The 26,737-nt window shown below is 35.6% G+C and overlaps 2 protein-coding genes across 8 annotated transcripts in view; one reads left to right on the forward strand and one right to left on the reverse strand.

The window, feature by feature from the left end:
• The window catches only part of LPAR6 (lysophosphatidic acid receptor 6), a 55,099-nt gene extending 39,468 nt beyond the window's left edge, over positions 1 to 15,631 (reverse strand). For 3 of the 6 annotated variants that reach the window (XM_047430021.1, NM_005767.7, XM_047430019.1), the window contains exon 1: positions 15,515 to 15,631. The gene's annotated coding sequence lies outside the window, so the exon portion shown is untranslated. Of the gene's footprint in view, positions 1 to 10,570; positions 10,661 to 15,514 lie in introns of those variants that run through there. The other 3 variants (XM_047430022.1, XM_047430020.1, XM_047430024.1) reach the window with 2 other exon arrangements.
• RB1 (RB transcriptional corepressor 1) overlaps positions 1 to 26,737 on the forward strand; it is a 178,140-nt gene that overhangs the window by 125,288 nt on the left and 26,115 nt on the right. For both annotated transcript variants that reach the window (NM_001407165.1, NM_000321.3), the window contains exon 18: positions 23,955 to 24,073. In NM_001407165.1, coding sequence (NP_001394094.1) covers positions 23,955 to 24,073 — 119 coding nt within the window. The remainder of the gene's footprint in view (positions 1 to 23,954; positions 24,074 to 26,737) is intronic.

Genomic DNA, 26,737 nt, shown 5'->3' on the forward strand with positions numbered 1-26,737 from the left:
AGTAGTGAAATTGTGTGTGTATTAAAAGTTTAAGCATTGTTTACTCCCTGATTTATATTTGCTGATTTTTCATATTATTGTAATGTTATAAAATGGAAGTGCAAAAAAGGGTTGTTTTAGTCAAACCAAGTTCGGTGCTTTGAAATGACTCAGAGGCAAGTTGCAGAAAATATTGTAGACTTAGATGTAGAAAAGATATGAGGGGGCAACGTAAGAAACTAGAAAGGATTGCTAGGTGCAGTGACACATGCCTGTAGTCCCAGCTACTCTGTAGGCTGAGGTGGGAAGATCACTGGAGCCCAGGAGTTCTGGGCTGTGCGCTATGCTGATTAGGTGTCCACACTAAGTTCTGCATCAATATGGTGACCTCCTGGGAGCAGGGGACTACCAGGTTGCCCAAGGAGGGGCGAACCCACCCAGGTCGGAAAGTAGAAGGATTGTGTCTCTAGGCCTCAGACTCCTTTGCATTTTTCTGTCCTCACCCTGCACATAGTGAAAATCATAAACCCACATTATTGGTGTGGTTTATAGAAGAAAAACAACTTAGAACTAAAAAAAAAACAAAAAACCTTGACCTTACGTAAAGAGATTTTCAAATGAATACACTTTTTGTGTTTTTAAAATTAAAATGTTATATGGAATTATATATATTATTTTAAAATGATTTCCTGCTTAGCTTTTTAAATTAACTGGTGCCAATCTCTCAAATAAGACAATTTATGTACCAGCAGTAATCAACTGGAAAATGTAATGAAAAATATTCAATTTACAGCAATAACAAATAGTACAAAATACCTTAGGAATAAGCTTAATAGGCAAAGTGCAGGATGTAGATGAAAACAAAGCAAAAGACTACAAAACTTTAATAAAGGCCATAAGAGAATACTTGAACATGTGCCAGGCAGTTTTTCTGGGACAAATCTATACATTTAATGCCAATCCAGTAAAAATCTCAGTATGTTTTCAGTGCATGTTTTTACAAGTTTGTTCACCTGTAGATACTGTGGGTTATATCACCTAGCAGTTTCATTTCTAAGAAAAAAATCCCCTCCTAATTTGCATTCTCCACACCTTCACCCAAACCAGATTATTATTAGACTTTTAACAGGTCAAAGTAGTATCTTGTTTAGTTTGCATTTCTTTAGTTATAAGGAGTCCAGAAATAATCCCATACCCAGGGGAATTTAATGTATGATAATTTATCCACTTCAAATCAGTGGAGAAAATTCAGGATAATTCAGTAAATGCTCATGAGTTATCAGGATAGCAATTTGAAAAAAAGAGGTAGACTTTGATTTATTCTTTATACCAAAATAAATTCTAGCTAGATCAATAATCTCAATAAAAAATGACTCCATTTAAAAAATGACTCCATATAAGTTCTGGAAAAAAATGAGCACGTTAGAAAAATAACAGTAGAGGCCAGGCACTGTGGCTCATGCCTATAATCCCAGCACTTTGGGAGGCGAGACAGGTGGGTCATCTGAGGTCAGGAGTTTGACACCAGCCTAGCTAACGTGGTGAAACCCCGTCTCTACTAAAAATACAAAAATTAGCTGGGCATGGTGGCACGTGCCTGTAGTCCCAGATACTCGGAAGGCTGAGGCAGGAGAATGGCTTGAACCCAGGGGGCGGAGGTTGCAGTGAGCCGAGATTGTGCCACTGCACTCTAGCCTGGGTGACAGAGTGAGTCTCCATCTCAAAAACAAAAAAACAAACAAACAAACAAAAAAAAAAAACAGTAGAGGCCTGCTGTGGCTCACACCTGTAATCCCAGCAAAGAGGCTGAAGCAGAAGGATTGATTTCTGGAGCCCAGGAGTTTGGGGCTGCAGTAGGCCATGCCACTGTACTTCAGCCTGGGTGACAGCCCAACTCTAACAATTAAAATAAAATAATATATTTAAAAATAGCAGTAGAGGCTTTCTAAGTATTATATAAAATCTAGTGTTTAAAAAAAGATAGGTTTGACTAAATAATTTTGTTGCAAGAACAACATAAAGTGGAATGAAAACATCAGTCCATCATATGAATCATATGAGTTATAACATTTACAGAATAGTTAAATGACAAATTATGGAAACAAGTCTGTTAGAACAAACTAACAAAAAATAACAACCCATTCAAAAAGGTGGGAGATGCATCTAAACAAGCATATCATTTTGTCCTTAACTTAAAAGTGGTTCTCAGTTTTAGGTACCCAAATTTAATATTTGTATTTTTTTTAAGTTTTGGCCTTCAAAATAAAAATGACTATACATTTGATTAGACTTCTTTCTTTTCTTTTTATTATAGATGATTGATTTTTAAGGACTAGTGCTATGAACATTAAAGCAAGTATGCTTAAAACCAAAAACATATTTTGACTTTAGGCATTTATGCAGATAAATGTTTCGCTCTTAACCCACTTGGAATTCAAAGAGACTAGCTCTTTAACAGATACTGATACTCAAAGGTAAGGAAGAATTATTGGTATGATTCTAAGCCACTAGTCATCTATTCCCAGAGCAAAATTTCTGTGGTTACTTTTTTTTATTGGTTTTCTAGTGTGCTTGCTTTAATCAACTGTTTTCACATGTTTGGAAAATTTGAGGGTTTCCTGTCTATACTAGAAGATACGAGCACTACTCCAGAAAGGTTAGAAACAAAAGACCAAAGGACGGCTTCTACAAAAGGCCCCCTGTTAAAGCCCAGCCGTTTGTTGTTGTTTTAGTTAAACAGAAGTGGACTATTTCAACCTAACCGAAAAAGATTGCTGGATTTTTGCCCTGGCCATATAAATAGGAAATTAAGACAGGCATATTAAAATTTTTTCCTGCTTATGTTGTCTTCATCTCTGGGTCAACTGATACTTATTTTTTTTTCCAGTAGCAAAATATTTATTGAGTGTAACTGTGTACCAGGTGCTTTTCTAGGTGCTGGGAATATAGCAGTGAATAAAACAAAATCCCTGAGCTTATATTTTATTTGGAGAAGACAATCAATAAATAAACAATTATACAACTGGTCATATGGTGATAAGTTCTCTGAAGAAAAATAATTTAGGAGGAAAAAGGGGGTGGGCTTTTACTGTTCTACATAGGGAGGTCAAAGAAGGCCTTGCTAATAAGGGGACATTTGAACAGAGACTTGAAAGAAGTGAAGGAATGAATCATGTGGTTGTCTCAGGGAATTAACCTTTAACTGATCAACATCTTTAAAAGGCCTTCTCCAATCTGTATTTCCAGCTCACCTCCCAGAAATTCACTCACCATGTTCATGTCCCCAAGATCTTTGGGGCAAATAGAAATTTCTAAACAGTATTTCAACTTGGTAAGATTCTACATTTCTGCTTCTGATTCTTATTTTTCATGGCACCTCATAAAATAGGAATGCATGTTTTGTTTTTTTGTTTTTTTTTTTGGGCTACTTGCCAGTGTTCTGAAACTAAATACTTCTCGGAGAGTAGCTGTCTCTCATTAAAGAGCCCCAGATCAACAGTTCCATTTCAGTCACATTCCACCCTGACTTGTCTCTTCTCACCATTCGGTGATTAGGTTCATGTCTTTTACTCTTTAATGCTTTGGTTAGCATCCTGTTTACCTCAAGAGACTGAACTTTCTTCTCCTGAATTTAATTTCCCTGATAGCAGGGACATCTGACAGCCTATGTCAACTGTCTTCCTTGACTTCTGTCAATTATTTGTCCTAACTATGCTTGAGTAAGCGTACAGGAATATAAAATTTTATTTCCTTGGAATAAAATTTTAATTTATAATATAGGAGAGATATTACTATTAAGGCTCTTGAAAAGCAATTATAAGAGACAGAATAAAATTAAAAGGAAAAAAGATAGCATAACCCTACAACTCTAATAAATCTGCTGTTTATGATTTTCCAGATTTAATTTCAGTCTTTGCTATTATGCTTATATAGTTGAAATCAGAGAATAATATCTTTAAGATTTGGAATGGGATACTGCTCTTTCTTTTTATGTGCTCTTAGATAAGAACTCTTTCTACTGTGTCTTATAAACTCTGTCATACCATAAGTTTCTCAAAGTGATTTTAACCACTGTACATTTTAAACAATATGAGAAATAAATTAATTTCTGATATGAACATACATGTAAGCTACTAAACCTCAGTATTATGAAATATCTAAAACGTGACTTATTAGAAATAGATTCTTTTAGACGTTAATTTTTTTTTCAAAAAGATACATATGTACTTTTCTATTTATGAGTATACCTGGGTAAATATAGAACATAGGAAAATGTACTTTGATGTTTTAAAACATTTAAAATTATTTAAATATACCACTAACTCTAAATTTTAAAATTATCTTTGATTAGAAGCATTAAAATTCTTATTTAAGATGTATACTATTTGAAGAAGAGAATTGGGATTCTGTTGCCTTGCTTTGTAACTTAAAAGAGCTTTTTCAGGGACTCCCTCAGAGTACCTGCTGGAGATGAATCTGTAAAAAATTTTTGTTCAGAGAATTTCTGCCACTAAATAAGTCTTAAATAAGTATGCCACATAGGATAGACTGTATTTAAATGAAACCATTTTTTATAACTTACACCAAATATTATGACAAAAGCATAATTGTTTCTTGATAAAACTGTTCCACTGTTTTATTTGTTTTACTGTTAACAAAAATGCATTTTTTTTTTTTTACCTTTAGTAGGTATGCATTGTATTACAAAACAATGATATCTTTTGGAAAACTTTCAGTTAAACTAGACAAATAAGGACTTTGGCTTATTCAGATTTATTCCATTCATCATCTTTGAATTAGTTTCTTCTTGAGAAGAAGCATATCTTACAACTTTTGTCTTTATTACCTCAATATGTTTTATTTATATGTATATACATATATACTTTTTTTCAGATAGGGTCTTGCTATGTTGCCCAGGCTGGTCTTGAACTCCTGGACTCAAGTTATTCTCCTGCCTTAGCCTCCCAAAGTGCTGGGATTATAGGCATGAGCCACTGTGCCTGGCCTCAATATTTATTTAAAGGTTACAAGAATATATGTTCTTAAAATGTTGAGAATTAAAATAAATAATTTCTCCAATCATAATAGCTTTGTATTTTATTATATTATAAATTGAAACATTGAAGTTTTAAAATTCTTCTTCAATGAGCCAGGCCTGGTGGCTCATGCCTGTAATCCTTACACTTTGGGAGGCTGAGGCAGGAGGATCAGTTGAGGCCAGTAGTTTGAGAACGGCCTGGACAACATAGTGAGAATCTCTCTCCATTTAATAAATAAATAAATAAAATTATTCTTCAGTGAATCTGTTTTTGGATTCAGTCTTGATAATAAAAACGGAGAAAAAAAATTTTAACAGATAGATTATTTCAATATTGCTCTGTCAGCAATATCTGGAAATAGCATTAGTCATTTTTCTTCAGGTGCTTTTATCCAACAAGCCTAAGACTCCTAAGATTCCCTTCCCCATTAGGAAGCTCCAGGCAAGCAAGTGAAACCAGCAGAAGGCACCCAGCCACAAAAAACACCCTGGCCCAGGAAGTCTCTTTAACCCTACAGCCGAGACTCTTTCTCAGCCCAGGAACACCAGGCCTGTAGAGAGACACTATTCAGGGGTTTCCACTATACACCATTCCACCAGGCAGCTTGACCTGGTGAAAATGTGTAGGTCCATGTATCCACCACCACAAGCAATTGCACCCATATCCCTCCAGCCTCTCTACCCCTGTCCCTAACACCTGGCCACTGCTAATCTGCCCTTCAATTCTCAAATTTTGTCATTTCAAAAATGTTATGTAAGTGGAATCAAACAGGATTAGTTTTTTTTCTCATTCAGTATAATTTTCTGGAGATCCATTCACGATATTGCATGTATCAATAGTTCATACCTTTTTATTGCTGACTAGTATTTTGTAGCATGAATGTACTACAGTTTCTTTGGCCAGACACATGTTGAAGAATATCAGGACAGGTTCTAGTTTTTGGCTATCACAAATAAAGCTGCTATGAACATTTATGTTTAGTATCAGTATGGGTTTTCTTTTCTCTGGGATAAATGCCTAATGAGTAAAATTGAAGAGTTGTATGGTTATTTTGCATTTTCTTTGATAAAAGACTGCAAAAGTATTTTCCAGAGTGGTTGAATCATTTTAAATTTCCGCCAGCAATATACGAGTGAGTGATCCAGTTTCTCTGCATTCTTTCCATCATTTGGTGATGTCTTTATTTTTTATTTTAGTCATTCTGATAGTGTAAGGATATCTCAGTGAGGTTATAATTTGCATTTCCCATCAGGATGATAGCTAATGATATTGATTAACCTTTCCCTGTTTATTTGTGACCTGTATTTCCTCTCTGGTGAAATTTCTCTTCATGTCTTTGCTCATTTTCTGATTGGATTGTTTGTTTTTTACCATTGAGTTTTGAGGGTTCTTTATATGTTCTCAATACTAGTCTTTTTTGTTAGATATGTGGTTAGCAAATATTTTCTCTTGGCCTGTAGCTTCTTTCTTCATCTTCTTCACATCATGTTTCTCATCCAAAAGTTTTTAATTTTCATAAAGTCCAGTTTATCACTTTTTCCTTTTATGGATTATGCTTTTGGTGTCAAATCTAAGAACTCCAGATCCTGAAGATTTTCCCTTATACTTAAAAAATTATAGTTTCACATTTTAAGTCCATGATCCATTTTAAGTTTATTTTTGTACAAAGTTTGAGATTTGGGTTGAGGTTTTTTTAGGGGGTGCTGAGTTGGGCACCATGGATGTTCAGTTGTTTCAGCACCATTTATTTTAAAGGCTATCCTTTTTCTATTGATTTGCTTTTGTATCTTTGTCAAAAAGGGAACAAAGAAAAGATGAGACAAATAGATGTAGAATTTAAACTAATTATATTAATAATTGCATTAAATGTCAGTGCTCTAAGCAGCCCAATTAAAAGGCAGAGATTATCAGAGTGGATGAAAAACAAAACCCAACTCTATGCTATCTAAAAGAAATCTATTGTAAATATAAAGACACGAATATGTTAAAAGGATGAATGAAAAGATTAGGTCCTGGATGGAACTGAGGTTAACTGAGGATAATTTTAAGATTTGTACTATGGGTGATTAGGTGGTTGATAACACAATTAACCAAAGTAGGTATTGAAAGACCATCTCATAGCTGGTTGGTGATGAAGGAAATGAGTTCATGTTAATGTTTGAACCTATTATATTTGAGATGTTTGCCACATATTCATGTGGATATCTTTGGTGTCCAGTTGGAAATATGGATCTAGAACTTGAAAGCATAGTTTTAGTCAGAAATGTAGACTTAGGAATAATATAGATATAGTTAAAATCATGAGGCCAATTGCTGTGGCTCATGCTTGTAATCTCAGCACTTTGAGAGGCCAAGGCAGGCGGATCACCTGCGGTCAGAAGTTCGAGACCAGCCTGGCCAACATGGTGAAACCTCATCTCTACTAAAAATACAAAAATTAGCTGAGTATGGTGGCACATGCCTGTAATCCCAGCTACTCGGGAGGCTGAGGCAGGAGAATCGCTTGAACCCGGGAGACGGAGGTTGCAGTGAGCCAAGATTGCACCACTGCACTCCAGCCTGGGTGACAAGAGCAAGACTCTCTCTTAAAAAAAAAAATCATGATAGTGGCTCAGCCAGCATATGTATTGGCAAGCAGATCTGCAGAAATATTAGTATTAAAGGACCAGCAAGGTAAAATGGAAAAGATCTTCAGAAAGGCCAAGGTCTGCCAAAATTCTTCTATTTTCTATTCTAGTTTCCTCTTGCGAGGCAAAACAGTCTTAGAATTTAGCTTAGGGTGGCACAAAAACATTTCCTGTAATGTAGTTCTAATAATATTCCTTAAAATACCCAGAAAACAATAGCAATTTCTGCCTTCCACTTCCTCTATTGTTAATTTTTCTACTAGCACTACTGACTTGTACTTACTTTGATAATCAGAATCTCTTTTAGGAGCACCTTGACTTAATAGCCTTGGAGTCCTTTACTTTCTAGACAAGTTCATGCTTGCCTTAGAAATGTATGTTAGTTATGAAAAGTCATGTAGAACAGACTTATAGCTTCTACTTTTTCTATCAATATTATTTACCCAGTGAAATTTATACTAATCTTGCTGACAGTGAGAGCCTGGTTTCCTTCACAAGACTAAGTAGCAAAACAGAGTGAAGCGTTGTTCAGAGAGCAATTAGGCTGACAGTTAATTTGAGTAGATAAGTAATAACATGAGTTGAGTACAAGAGAAAACTACTGCCCAAGTCCTGGATAGAAACAATGCTTTAGAAAGAAATATACATATTTTACTTTCAAAAGTTAAGTATTCCATGAAATATTTTCTTTATAGTTAAAAAAGATCAATTGCTATATTAATTATCTGTTAGAACAACTAACATTTATTATCTCACACAAATTCTGAAAGTCGGGAAACTGGGAGTGGCTTTACTGTGTGATTTTGACTCATGTTTCCTCATGAGAGATTCTTAAATTGTCAACCAAGGCTGCAGCTAGTTTAAGGCTTCACTGGGATTGGAGAGTCTACTTCCAAGTTCACTCGTGTGGTTGTTGGCAGGCCTCAGTTCTTTGCTGGCTGATGGCCAGGGGCTTCATTTTTTTTGCCATGTGAGCCTCTCCGTAGGGCTACTCCATAGCAGCTCCCTGCCTCAACCCCAGTGGAAGAGATCCTAGAGAGGGAGAGAACCTAAGATGGAAACTGCAGATTTTTATAAATTCATCTCAGAAGTGACATGCCATCACTTCTGCCCTATGTCATTGGCCCACAGACTAACCCTGGTACAGTTTAGGAACTGTCTGCACAAGGATATAAATACCCAGTGTCAGAGATTATTGGGGTGATCTTGGAGGCTGGCTGCCATAGTTATGACTTAGTGTCAATTAGAAAACAAATCCTATTATCAGTTTTCTTGTTTGTGCTTTGCTGTAGTTAATTTGACTCATGATATGGCTGCATCATATGTCAATATTCTAGAAATATTTACCAAGTGTCCATTATATGCTTGGCACTGGAATTTTATTTTAAGAACTCCCTGAAAGTCCCATCTGAACCCTGGTAGTCACCTGTCTAAAATCCTTCAGCGAGTTTATATTTTGCTATTTCCTTGCTATGAAATCTGTATTTTAGCATTATGGAAAGAAAAATTTCTGTCTCAAAGGCTTGTGTGCCAGGTGCCCTTCTAAGCACTTTACATTTATTATCTAACTTAGTTGTCAAAACAGCCCTATAGTAAGCATTATTTTTCTTATCTTATAGATTAGCTGCATGAAGTTTCCCCAGGGCCATATTATTTTTTCTTCTCTTGCTTCTGAGCACACTATTCTTCTGCTTTTTACTTAAAATAATTTGTTCTTTCTTTAGGATTCAACTCAAGCATAATCTCTTCCAAGAAGTTTTCTCTAATGCTCCTAATCTGAGTTAGTTGTCTCTTCTGATTTTCATGGCACCCTGTGTATTCTTTTATTCTGGTACTTAGCACTTTGTATTGCTATTTTTTATTTACTTATCTGTTTTTTTTTTCATTAGACTGTAAACTATAGCATAAAAGTTCAAAACAAAGGCTCTGAAATCAAACAGTTTGGAACTGTGTCCTGGATCCACCACTTATTCATGTGACTGGACAATTTACTCCTTGTCTACCTTTCTTCACTTATAAAATGGCATTTAAAAAATAATTACCTTCTTTCTAGAGTTTGTTGTGAGAATTAAATAATATAAGTAATGTGGTTGGTGCTATGTCTGGCATTCAATAAATGTTATCTGTTAAGCTCTTTGAGGGTAGAATTATTGATTGCTTATCATGTGCCATGTATCATACCAAACTTTTTATATAGGTTATTTTATTTTCACAACAACTCTATGTAGTGGGTACTACTATGAATGTGCTATTTCTCTTAGCATCTCTAGATGAATGGATCAGTGAATGAATGATAGATGGAATTGTGGCCAGTGGAACTAATTGTAGGGGTAAACAGCAACCTAGAAACATGGTTAAAAGCATGACAATGGGCAAAGAAAGAGTGAAAGAGGCAGTAAGCAAAGGAACGTGACTCCCATACTAGTATAGCAGCTAACGGCACAAGTTTTAGAAACAGGTAGACTTGGGTTTGAATCACTGCTCCATCACTTATCAGCCATATAATATGGGGCAAAATTTATAATTTCTATAAAATACACATATCTACTTTATGGACGTATTTTGAAGATTAAATGAGATAATATATGTAAAATATTTAGCATAGAACCTAGCATATAGTAGATATTCAATAAATATTAACTAGTACTATTATTAAATTAAGATAATCATGAAGACAGAATTTTGGTAGTGAGGTAGTGAGAGAAATAAAATAGAATCATGAAGTATAAGGTAATGACTTTGAATCATTAATCATAGTTATCGAAATCAGGCATGATAGAAAGATTACGGTTGTTAATCTTCCTTATAGTGCAATATCCTCACCAGTCCACACAACATTTTTGCCCACTGAGTCTGGGATAAAGTTAAAAATTAATCCTCATAAACTAAAGTTAATGAAATGTTCAGAATATTCTGCCTTCTTACCGTATCATCACTTTAGCCCAAATGCTGGGAAAAAGAGAAACAAAAGTCTTCTGTCAGCTATTGAATGTGTTATGATTTAGAGAATTTCTGAGATTCACAGTAGAGTCTGTACTTTTTACATTTGATAGACCTCAAATTTGCCTGAGTTTTTAGTGTTCCAGAAAATAGGCTTTGGGGAAGGTTTGAAAGAAGGCCTTTTTGAACCTAAGAAGACAAGAAATTGAACTGTTATCACAATATTGCTATTTAAGAAAGAATATTAAGTCACTTTTCAGAAATTTATATCAGAATTAGAAAAATGCAGAAATATAGTTTATACTTCTTAAGGAGGTGGTGGAGGAGATTAGATAGATACATGCATACATATATACATAAGTCTAAATATTTTTATATGTATATGAGAGAAGTATCAGGAATAGGGTAGGAAGGAGATAGAATAGTAGGATTACATTAGAATCTGCTTAGGAGCTTTTCTTACATGTAGATATTCTCTCTTTTTGGGTATATCAAAATCTTGGGAGTAAAAGGGAAACCTGGCATGCATGTTTAATAAAGCTTCCTTGGGGACTCTGATATATGCTGCCTCCCAAATAAATTACAAGCCATATCAGGAAATAGGAGTTTACAGTATAAAATATAACCGAAAACTAAAGTCAGATGTTCTACAAAATATTAACTATTTTTCCTGAGATAGAAGTGGTTGAAATTTGGGAGATAACTTTTGCTATGTTCTGTGAGGCAAAGAGGAGGGAGGCTAGAGTTGATGAAGACATCTTTCTTTTATGTATGATATTGTCTATGTTGGGCCCTGTTAATTTTCATTTACTTATGTACAAATAGCTAATGCATATTTTTTAACTTTAATGTTTGTTATTTACATGCATAGCCTGATGGGCACATGATCCAAAGTTTAATTTTTTGGTTGAAATTTAGTATTTGGCTTCATATATATAAAGATTGGGGTAAGGCGATCTGCCTTGCCTTTCTTCTACTGTGTCAAAGAATTTATGATCAAGGGCTAGAGTCAGTATTAATTATATGATTTTGTTTTAACCAAGAAGAACTTAGTTAAATTTAAAATTGTAGTTGCACTCATAGATAAAGGGTTTTCTTTGTTAAAAGGTAAAAAAGAGACATCTCTTATACTTGCTTAACTTTTCATTTAAAAAATTAATGTATTCATAATAAATAGAAAATGAAAGGAGCTTAAAAAGCAAATTGAACACATAGTTATCAGAGAAAACAATTTTAAAATTATGATTTTAAACTCTCATCTGTATTGCTAAGAATGCCCTATATTGTAATATTCAAGGTTTGCTTATAATTAAAATGTAGGGAAGAAAAAAAGAATCCTGCAGACATTCTAAGGATGACCTAGGCCATTGATAGTCTAAGCTTGAAATTAATCATTAGATTTTCTGAACTCTTATTACACTGGATCTGTTCAGTCTGCTTTAACAAAATACCATAGATTTGGTGGCTTATAAACAACAGAAATGTATTTCTCACAGTTCTGAAAGCTGGGAAGTCCAAGATCAAGTTTCCAGCAGATCTGATATCTGGCGGAGGCCTGTTTCCTGGTTCATAGATGGCACCTTCTTACCATGTCCTCAGATGGTGGAAGGGACAAGGCAGCTCTCTGGGGTCCCTTTTATAAGGGTACTAATCATCCTTTTCATGAGGGATGTGTTGAAACTAAATTGTGCCTGAAGACCCTTATGTTACCTTTACATATCAAATTTCTATTGTATCTGGCCAACCTTTGATTTTAAGGCACTAGGGCAAGAATGACCAACGGGTTTCCAAACATATAGAAGTAGTAACATGTGCATATCAACAAAAATCACTTGGTAGGAACCCAATACTAGCTAATAAGCCTACTCCTACTGTCTTAGATCTAGTTCTGTTTCAGAATTGGAAGCTTTAAGGATTATGAAATTCTGGGAACTTGGAGTAGGTCCACCTAGAAGTAGAAGCAGCAAAACCCAAAAAACCAATACAATTTTTAATAGTGTTGTTTAATTTTTAAGTGTTATTTACTAGAAAATAAAACTATACTGTGTTTAATCATCAAGCAATTTTTAACAAAAAAGTTTAGCACTAGGAATAGGTTAAACTTGACACAATTTGCTATCATAGAATTATATATATGGGTAAAGGGTACCAGTTAGATTCCCATTGGCAAAAACCTGGTGATTTTCATTCTGTGGTATAGAGATCCTAGTTAAGAGGCAGGAATTATTTAAAAATGACTTTAATTTTGATCATTTAATTATAGGACCTATTTATTCACTTGTTTTTAACTTATTCACAAATCTTAGTCATGAGCATTATTAATAGATAATTTGATGCCTTGTCACTTAGCAGTACAAGCATGTTTATTTCTGACTTTTAAACTCGAATTCACCCTTCTTGTGTTTTTCTATTCAGTCGTAACCCACTCCTTCTACATCTACAAAATTTGGTGAGGCATCTTTGACTTTCATCATATTCAGACATGCTAGCTTCAAGAACTTTCCTATTCCTCTTTTAATGTCTGTTTCTCACATTGTATTAGTTCCTTTTATAGTATTAATTCTTCCTACAGTATGAATTTTATTTTTTTTTTTTGAAATGGAGTCTTGCTCTGTTGCCCAGGCTGGAGTGCAGTGGCACCATCTCCACTCACTGCAAGCTCTGCCTCCTGGGTTCACGCCATTCTCCTTCCTCAGCCTCCCGAGTAGCTGGGACTACAGGCGCATGCAACCATGCCCGGCTAATTTTTTGTATTTTTTGTAGAGATGGGGTTTCACCGTGTTAGCCAGGATGGATATAGTATGAGTTTTTATTCATTTTGCAAATATTCATCATAGATATTTTTGTCTTATTTCAGTTAGAACAGGATTTTTTTCTTTGGATTCAGAAGGTAACTTTCCTACTGTACTTAGGATAAATTCCACAAAAACTCTTTAACAAGGTTTTTTTCCTGGCTATTAGAAAGGAGGAAGACCCTCACTGAATTGAAGATAGTAATGATGGGTGAGGACTTTGACTTCTGTTAACACCTCATTCAGATAAGTGACTATTTTAGTTTAATTACATGAATTTTGTCATCTCCCTTGGAGCTGCCTCCCAGAGCTGGTATATCAGACATCCTCAAGTAAACCTGGACCCAATTTTAGAAATCTTGGCTAATTTTGAGTTAGGAAGTCCTTTCTTTAAACAATATTTTAAAATTAACAGAACAATCACAAAATATATTTTACATATTGCACTTTTCAAAATACTTTAAATATTTAAAAAAATACCCAACACCACAAAGTAACTTAGTTTAAAATAAAATAAAAATTTTTGAAATCAGACCTAATCAAATTGATATATCTCTCATTTTCTTTGAAAATTTTGACCAAGATATCAATTAATAAATCCACTTTGAAAGACATTTTAAGACATTTAATTAATAAATCCATTTGAAACACATTTTAAAATGTGTTTGTTCATGTGTATAAAATTATGTCATTGATATAACATTACTATTCCTTTAAACATTGTTATGTTCTTAAAAATATCTCCTCTTAGTCTATAATTTAGCGAAAGGATTACTGTTTTGAAAGACTTAAAAAAAATGCTTAGCTATTTTTTAGCTAAGAAAAAAGATTCCTTTTTCAGTAAATGGATAAAGCTGAAAAATAAGAAATTAATAAAATGTTTTAAAGAAAGAGTCATAAATATCTTAATATTTAATTCTAGGAAGCTTCTCTATTCATTTGCTTTTTTATTTTTAAAAAGAAGTTTAAAAGAGTTTTAGTTTTAATATCTATAAACTTCAAATGTTATTCCACACTCAAAAAATATTTCTAATGTATTAAGTCACAGTTTACTAAAATAGCTAAGTTTTCTGATTCATAAAATGAATAATAACACTTAATTTTAAGACTTATTTTGAAGATTAAATGAGGTAATACATTCAAATAAAACCTTTTAAACTGAAAGTACTTTCATTCTTGTGTAAGGAAACCATGAAAGTAAAAGACACATCATTCTATTTTGCCAGTGTATCTTAAATTAACTAGCTTTTATTGTCAGTTTAGTGTTCAGGGCACCAAGGGTACATTTCATACTAAGATTGTGCAAGTGAGAGTAAATGCCTCCTTAAATTTTCCATCTTAGGCACCTCCGTTGCTTTTAGACCTGGCTATGTTTTATATTGCTTATATACATTTTTTTTTCTTTTGGAAAAAAGATAAGCTGAAAAACATTTTTGTTGATGACATGCTATTGCTGAAATAAAAACCCAGAACATAGTGATGTGTAGGAAAAAACTCTCTCAAACCATGTTTTTCTTCTGCTCTCATACCACCACAACAGTTGTCAACACAAAAGACTTCTGTGACAAAATGTGTGGGTTTTTTTCCCCACACACTAAGCAGCAGATACCAGCTGGGCATCCTCCAACTCAGTTCTGATACTGTCTACTTGGAGATAGTGTCAGATCCCACTGGTTGGGGTCTCAGTGCCCATACCTCATACCCCCAGACACCATCCTAGGCCTCCAGAACTTCTGACCTACTGGCTTCAAATTGGGGTTCTCACACCACACTCTTCAGGTTCAATTAATTTGCTGGAGCTGCTCACAAAACTCAAGGATACTGGGCACGGTGGCTCAAGCCTGTAATCCCAGCACTTTGGGAGGTCGAGGTGGGCAGATCACTTGAGGCCAGGAGTTCAAGAACAGCCTGGCCAACATGGCAAAACCCCGTCTCTACTAAAAATACAAAAATTATCTGGGTGTGGTGGCATGCCCCTGTAGTCCCAGCTACTCCAGAGGCTGAGGCACGAGAATCACCTAAACCCAGGAGGCAGAGGTTGCAGTGAACTGAGATTGTGCCACTGCACTCCTGCCTGGGCCGCAGAGCAAGACTGTCTGAAAAAACAAAAAGAAAAAATCAAAGGAAACACACTTACCGGTTTATTACAAAGGATATTGCAAAGGATACAGATGAGGAGATGCGTAGGGTGAGGTATGGGAGCAGGGGTGCAGAGCTTCCATGCCCTCTGGGGGCCACACCCTCCAGAAACCTCCATGTGTTCAGCTATCCAGAAGCTCTCCTAATCCAGTTTTTATGATGTCAGCATTGGGATTTTTATGATGTCAGCATTCCTCCCCTACACTATAGGGCAAAAACCATCTCTGGGGAGGGTCTTAAAGACACACAATTTACAATGATGGGGGAAAAATTAGAGTCCTGCCTTGGAACAGGTTAAAGGAGGGCAAGAGAAGGTCCGAGGCCTGCCCCTGAGGCCTACCACACCAAACGTTATAACAACACAACAGTTTTTATATATTTTCAGTTTTGCATAATATGAAGTTAAAGACTTAAGTAAATTGAGTAAATAGTAGTTTTTTTTTTTTTAATTTCACAGATCAATAGAGTTAACTCCTGAGTTATATGCATACAACCCCAAAGTTGTTTGCTGTCTGGAGCTGTGCCTACACCCGCCTGGCATATTCTTGAGACATTGGAGCTAGGAAGTTGGAAATTGATAGAAAATTTTGTCACTTGTAACAGAGCTAAAGCAATATGGATTATGGTGGACCCTATCACTTGGAATACTTTCCTGAAAGCAACACAGGTCATCATTGCCAAATATTTTTAGGACCCCAATTCTGTACTAAGTGCTAGTGATGTGATAGGAAGCCAGACACAATTGAACTAGCTATCTCTATATTAGTGACTTATCCTAAAACAGAGTTTCTGTTGTAATTGGTTTACTGTTTCTCTTAGAATATTTAAACGTTTTACCATGGTCTTTCAGATTCTGCGTGATCATACAGCAACCTCTTCTTTAGCAACCTCTCCACTATCCCACCCGGGTACTTTAGTTCTGGTGGCCTCTTTCATTTTCTGAAAGAACATCAGTTTCTTAGCATATGATCTTTCATCTTTTGGAAGATCTCTGCCCCTTCTCCTTTCAAAGCACAGCCTCCTTCTCACATTTCAAGACTCAGCGTCCATGTTACCTTCCCAGATCAGCCTTCCTTGAACCCACCCCATCCACCTGGATCTCCCTGTTTATTCTTCATGAGAGAACCCTGTTCTTTCATAGGATTTTTCTGAATTTGTCATCACATACTTATTTCCTTGTTTGTGTGCCTCTTCTCACCAGACCCTGAGCACCGTGTAAGTAGGAACAAAGTATTATTTCAAAGACCCAAGTCTGAAACGGTTTATCTGTTTATACTTAATGGCTAAGGTATACATGTACACGTATTCTATTTGACTAACATTTGAGGTAAAAAACATGGGGGAAAGGAGCAGATAACACATATTTTTAGAGGATTTAGAGTATATATAACTAAGAAGGTTCCCTTTATTTGTTATTTTTTGGGAGGGAATCCTGCTCTGTCACCCAGACTAGAGTACAGTGGCACGATCTCAGCTCACTGCAACCTCTGCCCTCTGGGTTCAAGCGATTCTCCTGCCTCAGCCTCCTGAGTAGCTGGGATTATAGGTGCGTGCCACCATGCCCGGCTAATTTTTATATTTTTAGTGGAGATGGGGTTTCACCATGTTGGCCAGGCTGGTCTTGAACTCCTGATCTCAGGTGATCCACCTGCCTCAGCCTTCCAAGGTGCTGGGATTACAGGCCTGAGCCACCATGCCTGGCCCCATTTTAAATCTTATTCTCACTTTGAGGTGGAGTTAATCTCAGAAAACTTTGAGATTAAGTTATCTTAATATCAACCTTCTCACTTTATTCATTTATTCAACAAATGTTTATTGAGCCCTTACTGTGTGCCAGGTAGTTTTAAACATTGGGGATACTATTGAATAAGATAGACAAAGCCCAAGCCTTCCTGCATCTTGCTTGCTAGTAGCGAGATAATAAATAAGAAAATAAATGAATTTATAACATAACCTCAAGTGGTGATCAATACTATGAAGGAAATAGAGCAGAGGTAGGAGTAGCAAATAAATGGGAATTATGGCTGTCTTAGGCAAGATGTTTAGACAAGGCTTTGCTTAGGAGGTGCTATTTGAGGAGATATGTGAATAATGGAGTGGGGTGAGTCATAGGAAGCATGGTCAAAGAGTATTTTGGGCAGAGGAAACAGCAAGTACAAAAACCCAGAGAAAGGAAGAATTATGCCACAGTCATGGAATAGAAAGATGACCAGGATGGCTGGAGTAAGAAGAGTGTTAGAGCATGAGGTCTGAGAGGTATCAAGGGGCCAGAACTCATGTAGTGTTTTGTAAACCAAGATAAGGCATTTGAATTTATTCTACGTGTGACAGGAAGCTCTTGCAGGGTTTTGAGTGTGGAGGTGGGTTAGGGAGTAACATATTAGCTCTATGAGGACATCTAGGAGGCAGCAAGAGTAGAAGTATGGAAACCAGTTTGTAGGATGCTTTTGCAGTGGGACAGAAAAGAGATAAGAATTGCTTTGACTCTAGCAATGGTACAGGTAATGAAAAGAAGTCAAACTTGGAATATATTTTGAATTTAGAGCCAATATGACTTGCCTGGTGTCTTGGATAAGTATGAGAGAAAGAATAATAATGATGACTCCTTGTCTTTTTTGCTTTGGGCAACTGGATACAAGGAGTGATTTAATGATATGGTAAAGACTAGGGAGAAGCAGTCGTTTTTGGGGGGTGGTAGAGGATGATTAAAGTTTATTTTATACATAGACATCAAGTGAAGATGTTGAGTAAGGTCAAATAGGGCAGATGCTTCTGAAATACTCCTTCAAGGCTATTTAGTATCTGACAAATGGAGCATTGTTACATTTATGGCTCTACTTCCTAGCATAGACATACAACATATACTGGGTGGATGGATGGATAACTAGGCATACAGTCATACGTTTGAGGAAATAGAGTGTTCTTTGTATAATGGCACTCATAGATGTAAATAATCACAACCATAATAATATCAAATATTATATATTACTCTGTGTCAAGCACTGTTCCCAATTCTTAACATTATTAATTCACTTCTCATATACTATGATTTAAGTTACTACTATTATCATTAGTATCTCTGCTCTACAGTTGAGAAGCTTATTGAGGGTCATGTAGCTACAGGTGGCCAGGATTTGAACCCATGTACTGTGGCTCCAGAGTTTGTGCTCCTACCTACTGCACTATAGTTTTCCCGTGATCATGACATACTCATCATCATAAACCAATATCTATATATCTGTGTGACCATTTGGTTTGGGGTGATGGAGTGATAAAAGTGATATTTGAATGAAATATGAAGACTATTGGTGAAAAATGCCACCTTAATCCTTGGAAGAGAAATTTACTTTTAGTATAATCCTATTGGGTGAATCTGAAGCACAACTAGATTTTATCTCATATCTGAAAGGTATCTAAAATATCTAATTAGTGTACTTAAGTCCTATTAATCACACATCTTTGCAAGGTCTCAAGAGTCTCCTAAAATTTCATTGTTTGAAAGAAAAATTGGTAGTAGGCCACTCTTGAATATATGTGGGTTTATACTCATACCATTTTAGTTAAAGATTTTCAATTCATCCATGGCTAGGAAGTATAAAATATTTAGTATAACAGTATGTGTATTAGCTGGAATGAATTTCCTAAGTGTTAATTGTTAGCATTACTTTGCTCAGATGAAAGCCATTATTTACACTGCAGTGCCCCTAATGAATATAGGAAAAGATGACTTGTCAACAAAAATTATATGATTGGAGTTGTAGAGTCTGCTTCTTTTTCCAAAGCATACATGCCACCTTCTCTTTTTTCTCCCCGCCATAAAATCCAGCTCCTGTAGGACACCTTTTCTTCTGATGCCTCCATAGGAGACAACTCATGCTCACCATCTCCACCTTTAAGAATTATTTCTGTAGTGAGTCACTATTACAGATAATAACCCATCTCCTGTTGGTCTGCTGAAACTGAAAAAGGGCTGAAAATTGTTAAACTTTTGCAGTGATATGTGTAATGACTATATGATTATCATGCCTCTTTTTATTCACAGCTTATCAAGTACCTACTTGACATGTAGAAAGGAAAAGAGTAAAGTTAAGAAAAGACAGTTTGTTTCTCCTGAAAGTTTAGAGTTGAAAGCGCATCTTTAACACATTCATACATACATCCAAGAAATTCAAATAAAATAATCAAGCCAAATCACTGAAAGCTGAGAAAAGAGTTGAATGTTCAAGTGGCTACTTGAAGTCACTTCATGTGATGTATCATGTAATCCTGCAAAATGAGTGCTGTATTCCTGTTTTTCAAGTAATGAAACTGAGGTTCAGAGAGCAAAACGTTTCATTGCTAGTAAACTTCAAACTAGTAAACAAGAATTTGAGCTTATATATCTCTAATTCCAGGACCTGTGCTTTTATTGCTAATGGCTTTTTTAAAACTTGTTCTTCATGCTTTTTTTTATTGAGTGAATTAAGAGCAGGATAAATAAGAAAAATAGTATTTAGTAATGTATTGCTTAGGCATGAGTAACTTCCTATTTGAAAGAACTGTTGCGTAATCGCCGTTTTTTTTTCTTTCTTTTTAAATTTCTTCTCCCTGCATAGTTTCTGCATCTCCCAGATCGCCTTTTTGTTATTTTGTTTTGGCATATTTATATTAGGGACTTTCTGGAAATATTTGATTGCCACTCATATAAAAGAGTAAATCACTAAAAATTAGTTAGAAACTCTGAGCACCTGGATGAGGTTTGGGAACTTCATTGTATAGTTATTTGGTAGAGCAATTTCTTAAGAAACCCCCATTGCGTATCTTTAGGTTTTTTATCCTGTTACTCAGTACCTCACTGCCCAAAGTACCTGGTATCGCCACTGCCACATCCTTTTGGTGGGTTAAAAGTTTATCTGGTTTGCCTGTTGGCTTTCCTTAATGCTGAGTTCCAATTCAGTTTTTTCTCACCTACTGAGTAGGTTACCATTTGTGTATCTGCCTTCCAAGCTTTCAAAATTTTGTATCTCCAGCCTGGACAACATAGGGAGACCCTGTCTCTACAAAAAAAATTTCAGAAAATTAGCTGGGCACCATGGCGCATTCCTATAGTCCCAGCTACTCAGGAGGCTGCAGTGAGCCATGATTGTGCCACTGTGCTCCAGCACGGGTGACAGAGCAAGACCCTGTCTCTTAAAAAAAAAGTGTTGTATCTGAAAGGTTTATGTCTTTTAAAATAAGTCAGTTTATTGCCGTTTTAGTGGGGTTTTATGAGAGAGAGTTAATGTCTGCATTCATTTGGCATCTTTAACCAATGTTGTTTATCTTCTGCAGATTCCATTTAATTTAGTTTGTTGTAGTTTTAGTCATCCAGAAGTTTCCAATTTATATGAATTCAGATCTGTTCATATCCTTTGCCCACTTTTGAATGGAGTTGTTTGTTTTTTTCTTGTAAATTTAAGTTCCTTGTAGACTCTGGATGTTAGAACTTTGTCAGATGGATAGATTGCAAAAATTTTCTCCCATTCTGTAGGTTGTCTGTGCACTCTGATGATATATATATATTTTTTTTTTTTTGCTGTGCAGAAGCTGTTGAATTTAATTAGATCCCACTGTCAATTTCTGCTTTTGTTGTGATTGCTTTTGGTGTTTTCATCATGAAATCTTTCCCCATGCCTATGTCCCGAATGGTATTGCCTAGATTTTCTTCTAGGATTTTTAGAGTTTTCGGTTTTACATTTAAGTCTTTAATTCATCTTGAGTTAATTTTTGTATAAGGTTTACAGAAGGGGTCTAGTTTCAATTTTCTGCATATGACTAGCCAATTCTCCGAGGACCATTTATTTATTTAATAGGGAATTTATTTAGGACCATTTATTTAATAGGGAATGCTTTCTCCATTGCTTGTTTTTGTCAGGTTTGTCAAAGATCAGATGGTTGTAGGTGTGTGGTCTTATTTCTGAGTCCTCTACTCTGTTCCATTCGTCTGTGTGTCTGCTTTTGTACTAATACCATGCTGTTTTGGTTACTGTAGCCTTGTAGTATAGTTTGAAGTCAGGTAGTGTGATGTCTCCAGCTTTGTTCTTTTTGCTTAGGATTGTCTTGGATATTTGCGCTCTTTTTTGATTCCATATGAATTTTATGAATTTTGGTTCCATGTGAATTAGTTTTTTCTAATTCTGTGAAGAAAGTCAATGGTAGTTTAATGGGAATAGCATTGAATCTATAAATAACTTTGGGCTGTATGGTCAGTCTTACAATATTGATTCTTTCTATCCATAAGCATGGAATGTTTTTCCATTTGTTTGTGTCCTCTTTGATTTCTTTGAGCAGTGGTTTGTGGTTGTTGAAGAGGCCCGTCACTTCCCTTGTTAGCTGTATTCCTAGGTATTTTATTCATTTTGTAGCAATTGTGAATTGGAGTTCATTCATGATTTGGCTCTTTGCTTGCTTATTGTTGGTGTATAGGAATGCTAGCGATTATTGCACATTGATTTTGTATCTGAGAGTTTGCTGAAGTTGCTTATCAGCTTAAGAATGTTTTGGGTTAAGATGATAATTTGACCTCCTCTCTTCCTATATGAATATCTTTGTTTCTTTCTCTTGCCTGATTGCCCTGGCCAGATCTTCCAATACTATGTTGAATAGGATTGGTGAGAGAGAGTATCCTTGTCTTGTGCTGGTTTTCAAGGGGAATGCTTCCAGCTTTTCCCCATTCAGTATTATGTTGGCTGTGGATTTGTCATAGATGGCTCTTTGAGATACATTCCTTGAATACCTAGTTTGTTCAGAGTTTTTAACATTATGTTGAATTTTATCAAAGGCCTCTTCTGCAACCACAGATAATCATGTGGTTTTTGTCTTTAATTCTGTTTATGTGATGAATCACATTTATTGGTTTGCATATGTTGAACCAGCCTTGCATTCTGGGGATGAAGCCAGCTTGATCATGGTAGATAAGCTTTTTGGTGTGTGCTGGATTTGGTTTGCCAGTATTTTATTGTGGATTTTTGCATTGCTGTTCATCAGAGATATTGGCCTGAAGTTTTCTTTTTTTGTTGTATCTCTGTTAGGTTTTGCTATCAGGATGATGCTGGCCTCATAAAATAAGTTAGGGAGGAGTCCCTTCCTTTCAATTTTTTAGAATAGTTTCAGTAGAAATTTGTACCTCTGGTAGAATTCAGTTGTGAATGCATCTGATCCTGGGATTTTTTTTTTTTTTTTGGTTGGTAGGCTATTTATTACTGCCTCAATTTCAGAACATGTTATTGGTCTACTTAGGGATTTGATTTCTTCCTAGTTCAGTCTTGGGAGGGTGTATGTGTTCAGGAATGTATTCATTTCTTCTAGATTTTTTAGTTTATGTGCATAGAGGTGTTTATAGTATTTTCTGATGGTTGTTTGTATTTCTTTGGGGTAAGGGTGGTATCTCCCTTGTCATTTCTGATTGCGTTTATTCCATTCTTCTTTCTTTCCTTCTATATTAGTCTAGCTAGTGGTCTATTTTATTAATTTTTTCAAAAAATAAGCTCCTGGATTCATTGATTTTTTAAGGGTTTTTTGTGTCTCTGTCTCCTTCAGTTCTGCTCTGATCTTGGTTATTTTTTGTCTTCTGCTAGCTTTGGGGTTTGTTTGCTCTTTGAACTGGTTTTAGTATCAATATTGTACTAGCTTCATAAAATGAGATGAGGAATGTTTCTAGTTTTTCCATTCCAGGAAGAAAATCTGAGTAAAAGTGGAATTATCTGTCCCTTGAATGTTTGGTAGAATTTACTGGTAAAACCAAATGAGCTTGATGTTTTATTTATGGGAAGATTTTAAATTATTGATTCAAATTATTTAATAGTTGCAGGACTATGTAAGTTATTTTATTTCTTTTTTATTGAGTTTTGGTAATTTGTATTTTTGTAGTAATTTTCCACTTGGTCTACGTTTTCCAATTTATTGATATAAAATTATTCATAATAATTCCCTATTATCTTTTTAATCTTTGTGATTTTGTCCCATTTTTCATACCTAATACTGCCTATCTATCTCTTTTCTTTATCTTGATCAATCTGACTGGAGATTTGTTAGTTATTTCAAAGAATCCATTTTTGGCTTTGTTGACCAAACTGTGTTTTATCTTTGTTTTCAGTTTCATTAAGTTCTGCTCATGTCTTCATTTCTTTCTCTCCACTTTCTTCGTTTTTTTTCTGTCTTTCCTCCTAACTTCTAACTTATTTTCTAATATAAGCGTTGAAGGTTATACATTTTTCTACTTTTTTGTGTGTGGGAAGTACAAAAATTGTCAATTGGGAATTTCGAAGTAGAGAAAAATATTTCATTCTGACTTTTAAATTGCCACTGTCAATTGTGCCTAAAATTCATAGTACTTACCATGTCAAACAATATGATTTTGATATGTACCTGGGAAAATTATGCTTACTAATGTGGTTTTAATTTCATCATGTTTCATATAGGATTCACCTTTATTTGATCTTATTAAACAATCAAAGGACCGAGAAGGACCAACTGATCACCTTGAATCTGCTTGTCCTCTTAATCTTCCTCTCCAGAATAATCACACTGCAGCAGATATGTAAGCAAAATATATGTTATGTTGACCATTCAAACTGCAAATAGATTTTAAGCATAAGTGCAATGTAACATTCTATAAAGAAACTGTAGGGAATAGAATTTTGAATAAGAATAGTTTCTGTTTTTAAGAAATTAGTAATAAAAGGTACATGACCCAAATAAAGTCATATAAAAGAGTACAGAGTGCTACTGAATCACCTAGGATTTGCATAATGAGAGCAGTTTTCATGGCAGAGTTGGCAGTTTAGGTGGAATAGGATTTCAATGTGGAAACTGGAGAGAATAGAGGAGACAGAGGAGTGTGTTCCAAGAGTCAGAATGGCATTAACTCAAAAATGTCAAAGGAAGCAGAAAACATTTTTCAGAGTGTGCAGGTCAGTCCATTTGGAGTGAAGCATAGGATAAGTGTAGGGAGAAGTATGGGATGTGGACTAACACACAGTTGATTAGTGTGTGCTGGTGATGACGATGGGAAAAGAAAATGTAAACCCAAATGTATCTGAAACAGGTCTCAATCAATGTAGTAGTTTATTTTGCCAAAGTTAAGGACGTGCCCAGGAGAGAGATCTGTGCCTTTCTCCAGTGATGATTTTGAGGGCTCCAATATTTAAATGGGAAAGTCAGTCTGGAGGGGAAAGAAAAAGGGTATGGTAATCCACATGTTGCAAGAGAAAAAGAGCAGGTAGAGGAATCGTCAATTATCTATCCATCTCATGCTGAGTGAATCGACATTTTACATAAGATAAGGTGAACATAGAGTCACTGTCTGTGGAGGTATTTAACCTTTTATCTGTATTTATTTGTGTGGGAACAAAAGGAAAGGCAGTTTCTTGCATGACTCAGATTTCAGCTTAATTTTTTCCTTTTGGCATAGTGAATTGGGGTCCCAAGTGTTTATTTTCCTTTCACAAAAGCAATCACTAACTGTGTGCTGGGCAATGGCCTAAGTACTTAAGATTTATTTTTTCATTTAATCTTCATAACAGCCCATAAGGTAACAGATACTGCTGTCAGCCTGTTAACTATAAAATAGGAATTAGAGAAATAAGATAACTTGCCTAAGGTCAATAGAATTCAAACCCAAGCTATCTAATCCCAAAGTCCAGGCTCTTAATCACTCTAACTACATTGCCTTTCACAGAAATGTGCCTAATATTTTGTTTCTGTTTAATTCTGTGTAGGAACTGACATTACAGTATTCTGTATTAGTGCAGGGGCCATTTTCCAGAGATGTCATTTTCATGCTAACTTGTACCCAAAGTGTTTCTGGCATATGGAGACCCTGCCTTCATGTATACATTTGTTTCCTAAGTAATGCATTGTATAAATAAGTTAAGCCTTGTTTTTTTAAAATTCAAGAAGCAGTCATCTGTAAACTGCCAGGAAGTGGTGTAGGCACTGGGAATACAGAAGTAAGATGGCCTGGGTCCTTCCCCTCATAGAGCTTACATTCTGGAGGAGGAACACAGGCAATGAACAAGTAAACCAAGATGTAAGATGATTTTAGAGTATAATAAGTGCTACAAAGGAAATAAACAGAGTGGTGTGAAAGAGAGAAACGGAGAGGCTGATAGAATGCTTAGTGGCACTTTCCTTTCTCTGATAAAGTGATATTTTGACGTCACACCTGAAGGGCAAGCTGATGCTAGCTAGGCAAAAACCTGCATGATGTGCATTCCAGGCAGAACAAACAGCAAGTGCAGTGGCTGTAGGGCAGATCAAACTTAGCTGGATTTAGGAACAGAAAGAAAGAAATCCTAGTGTGGCTGGGGTATTGGAAGAGGAGAATGGTGCAAGATGAGACTGAAGAGCTAAGCTGGGGTAGATCTTGTAGAGATCTCCACTCTCTAGCTGCTATCTGAAGTACAGGTGGGTTTGGAGGAAAGGGACAGGGCAAGGCAAAAAGCGAGGAAACCAATTTGGAGACTATTTCTGTAGTTCAGATGAGGGATGTAGGTGACTTGGTCTAAGGTATGGTATTAGAAATAGAAATGGAGAGATCTGGGGTGTATTTAGAGATAAATTAATAGGTTTTACATTGGTTTTATGTTGGATTTCAGGAATTTGGAAAATGGAGAAATTAAAAATAACCCTAGGTTTTTGACTTAAGACACTAGATGTAATGTGGAGCTATTCTTTGAGATGGGAAAATAAATCCAGAGCTCTGCTTTGTTCTTATTAAGTCTGAGATTCGAGTAGTTATATCCGGTAGGTAATTGGAGATTTACACCTAGAACTTCAGAGACTAACTTTGCCCAAGTTAGGCCAGTTTACGATACTGTCAGTGAACTGAATGAAAATCCAAAGTGGATACTAGACCAGACACTGGTCCTTCTAAAATCATTGTGATAATGGGTCGCTTTTCTTAGTGTACTGGTTAATATACTACGTGTTGTAGAAACATCCATAGTAAGGTACAAATTCTACTTCCTGTTCTCTTTGTTCTTAAAGTTTGTCTTTAAAAATAAGTTCATTTGCCAGCTACCAAAAGAAAATCAGAAAGTAGATCTAGATTATTCTGTTAAATAGGGGCAGCACAGAACGATAATATTTGTAATATCTCTGCCTTGAGTTATGCCTGACATATTTAGTATGGTGTAAATCTGTCTGAATAATGTTATTTGAAGTATTAATTCATAGAATTCTGTACTGTGTAATTTAGGTG

Source organism: Homo sapiens, chromosome 13 (assembly GCF_000001405.40).
Source record: "Homo sapiens chromosome 13, GRCh38.p14 Primary Assembly".
Classification (NCBI taxonomy): domain Eukaryota; kingdom Metazoa; phylum Chordata; class Mammalia; order Primates; family Hominidae; genus Homo; species Homo sapiens.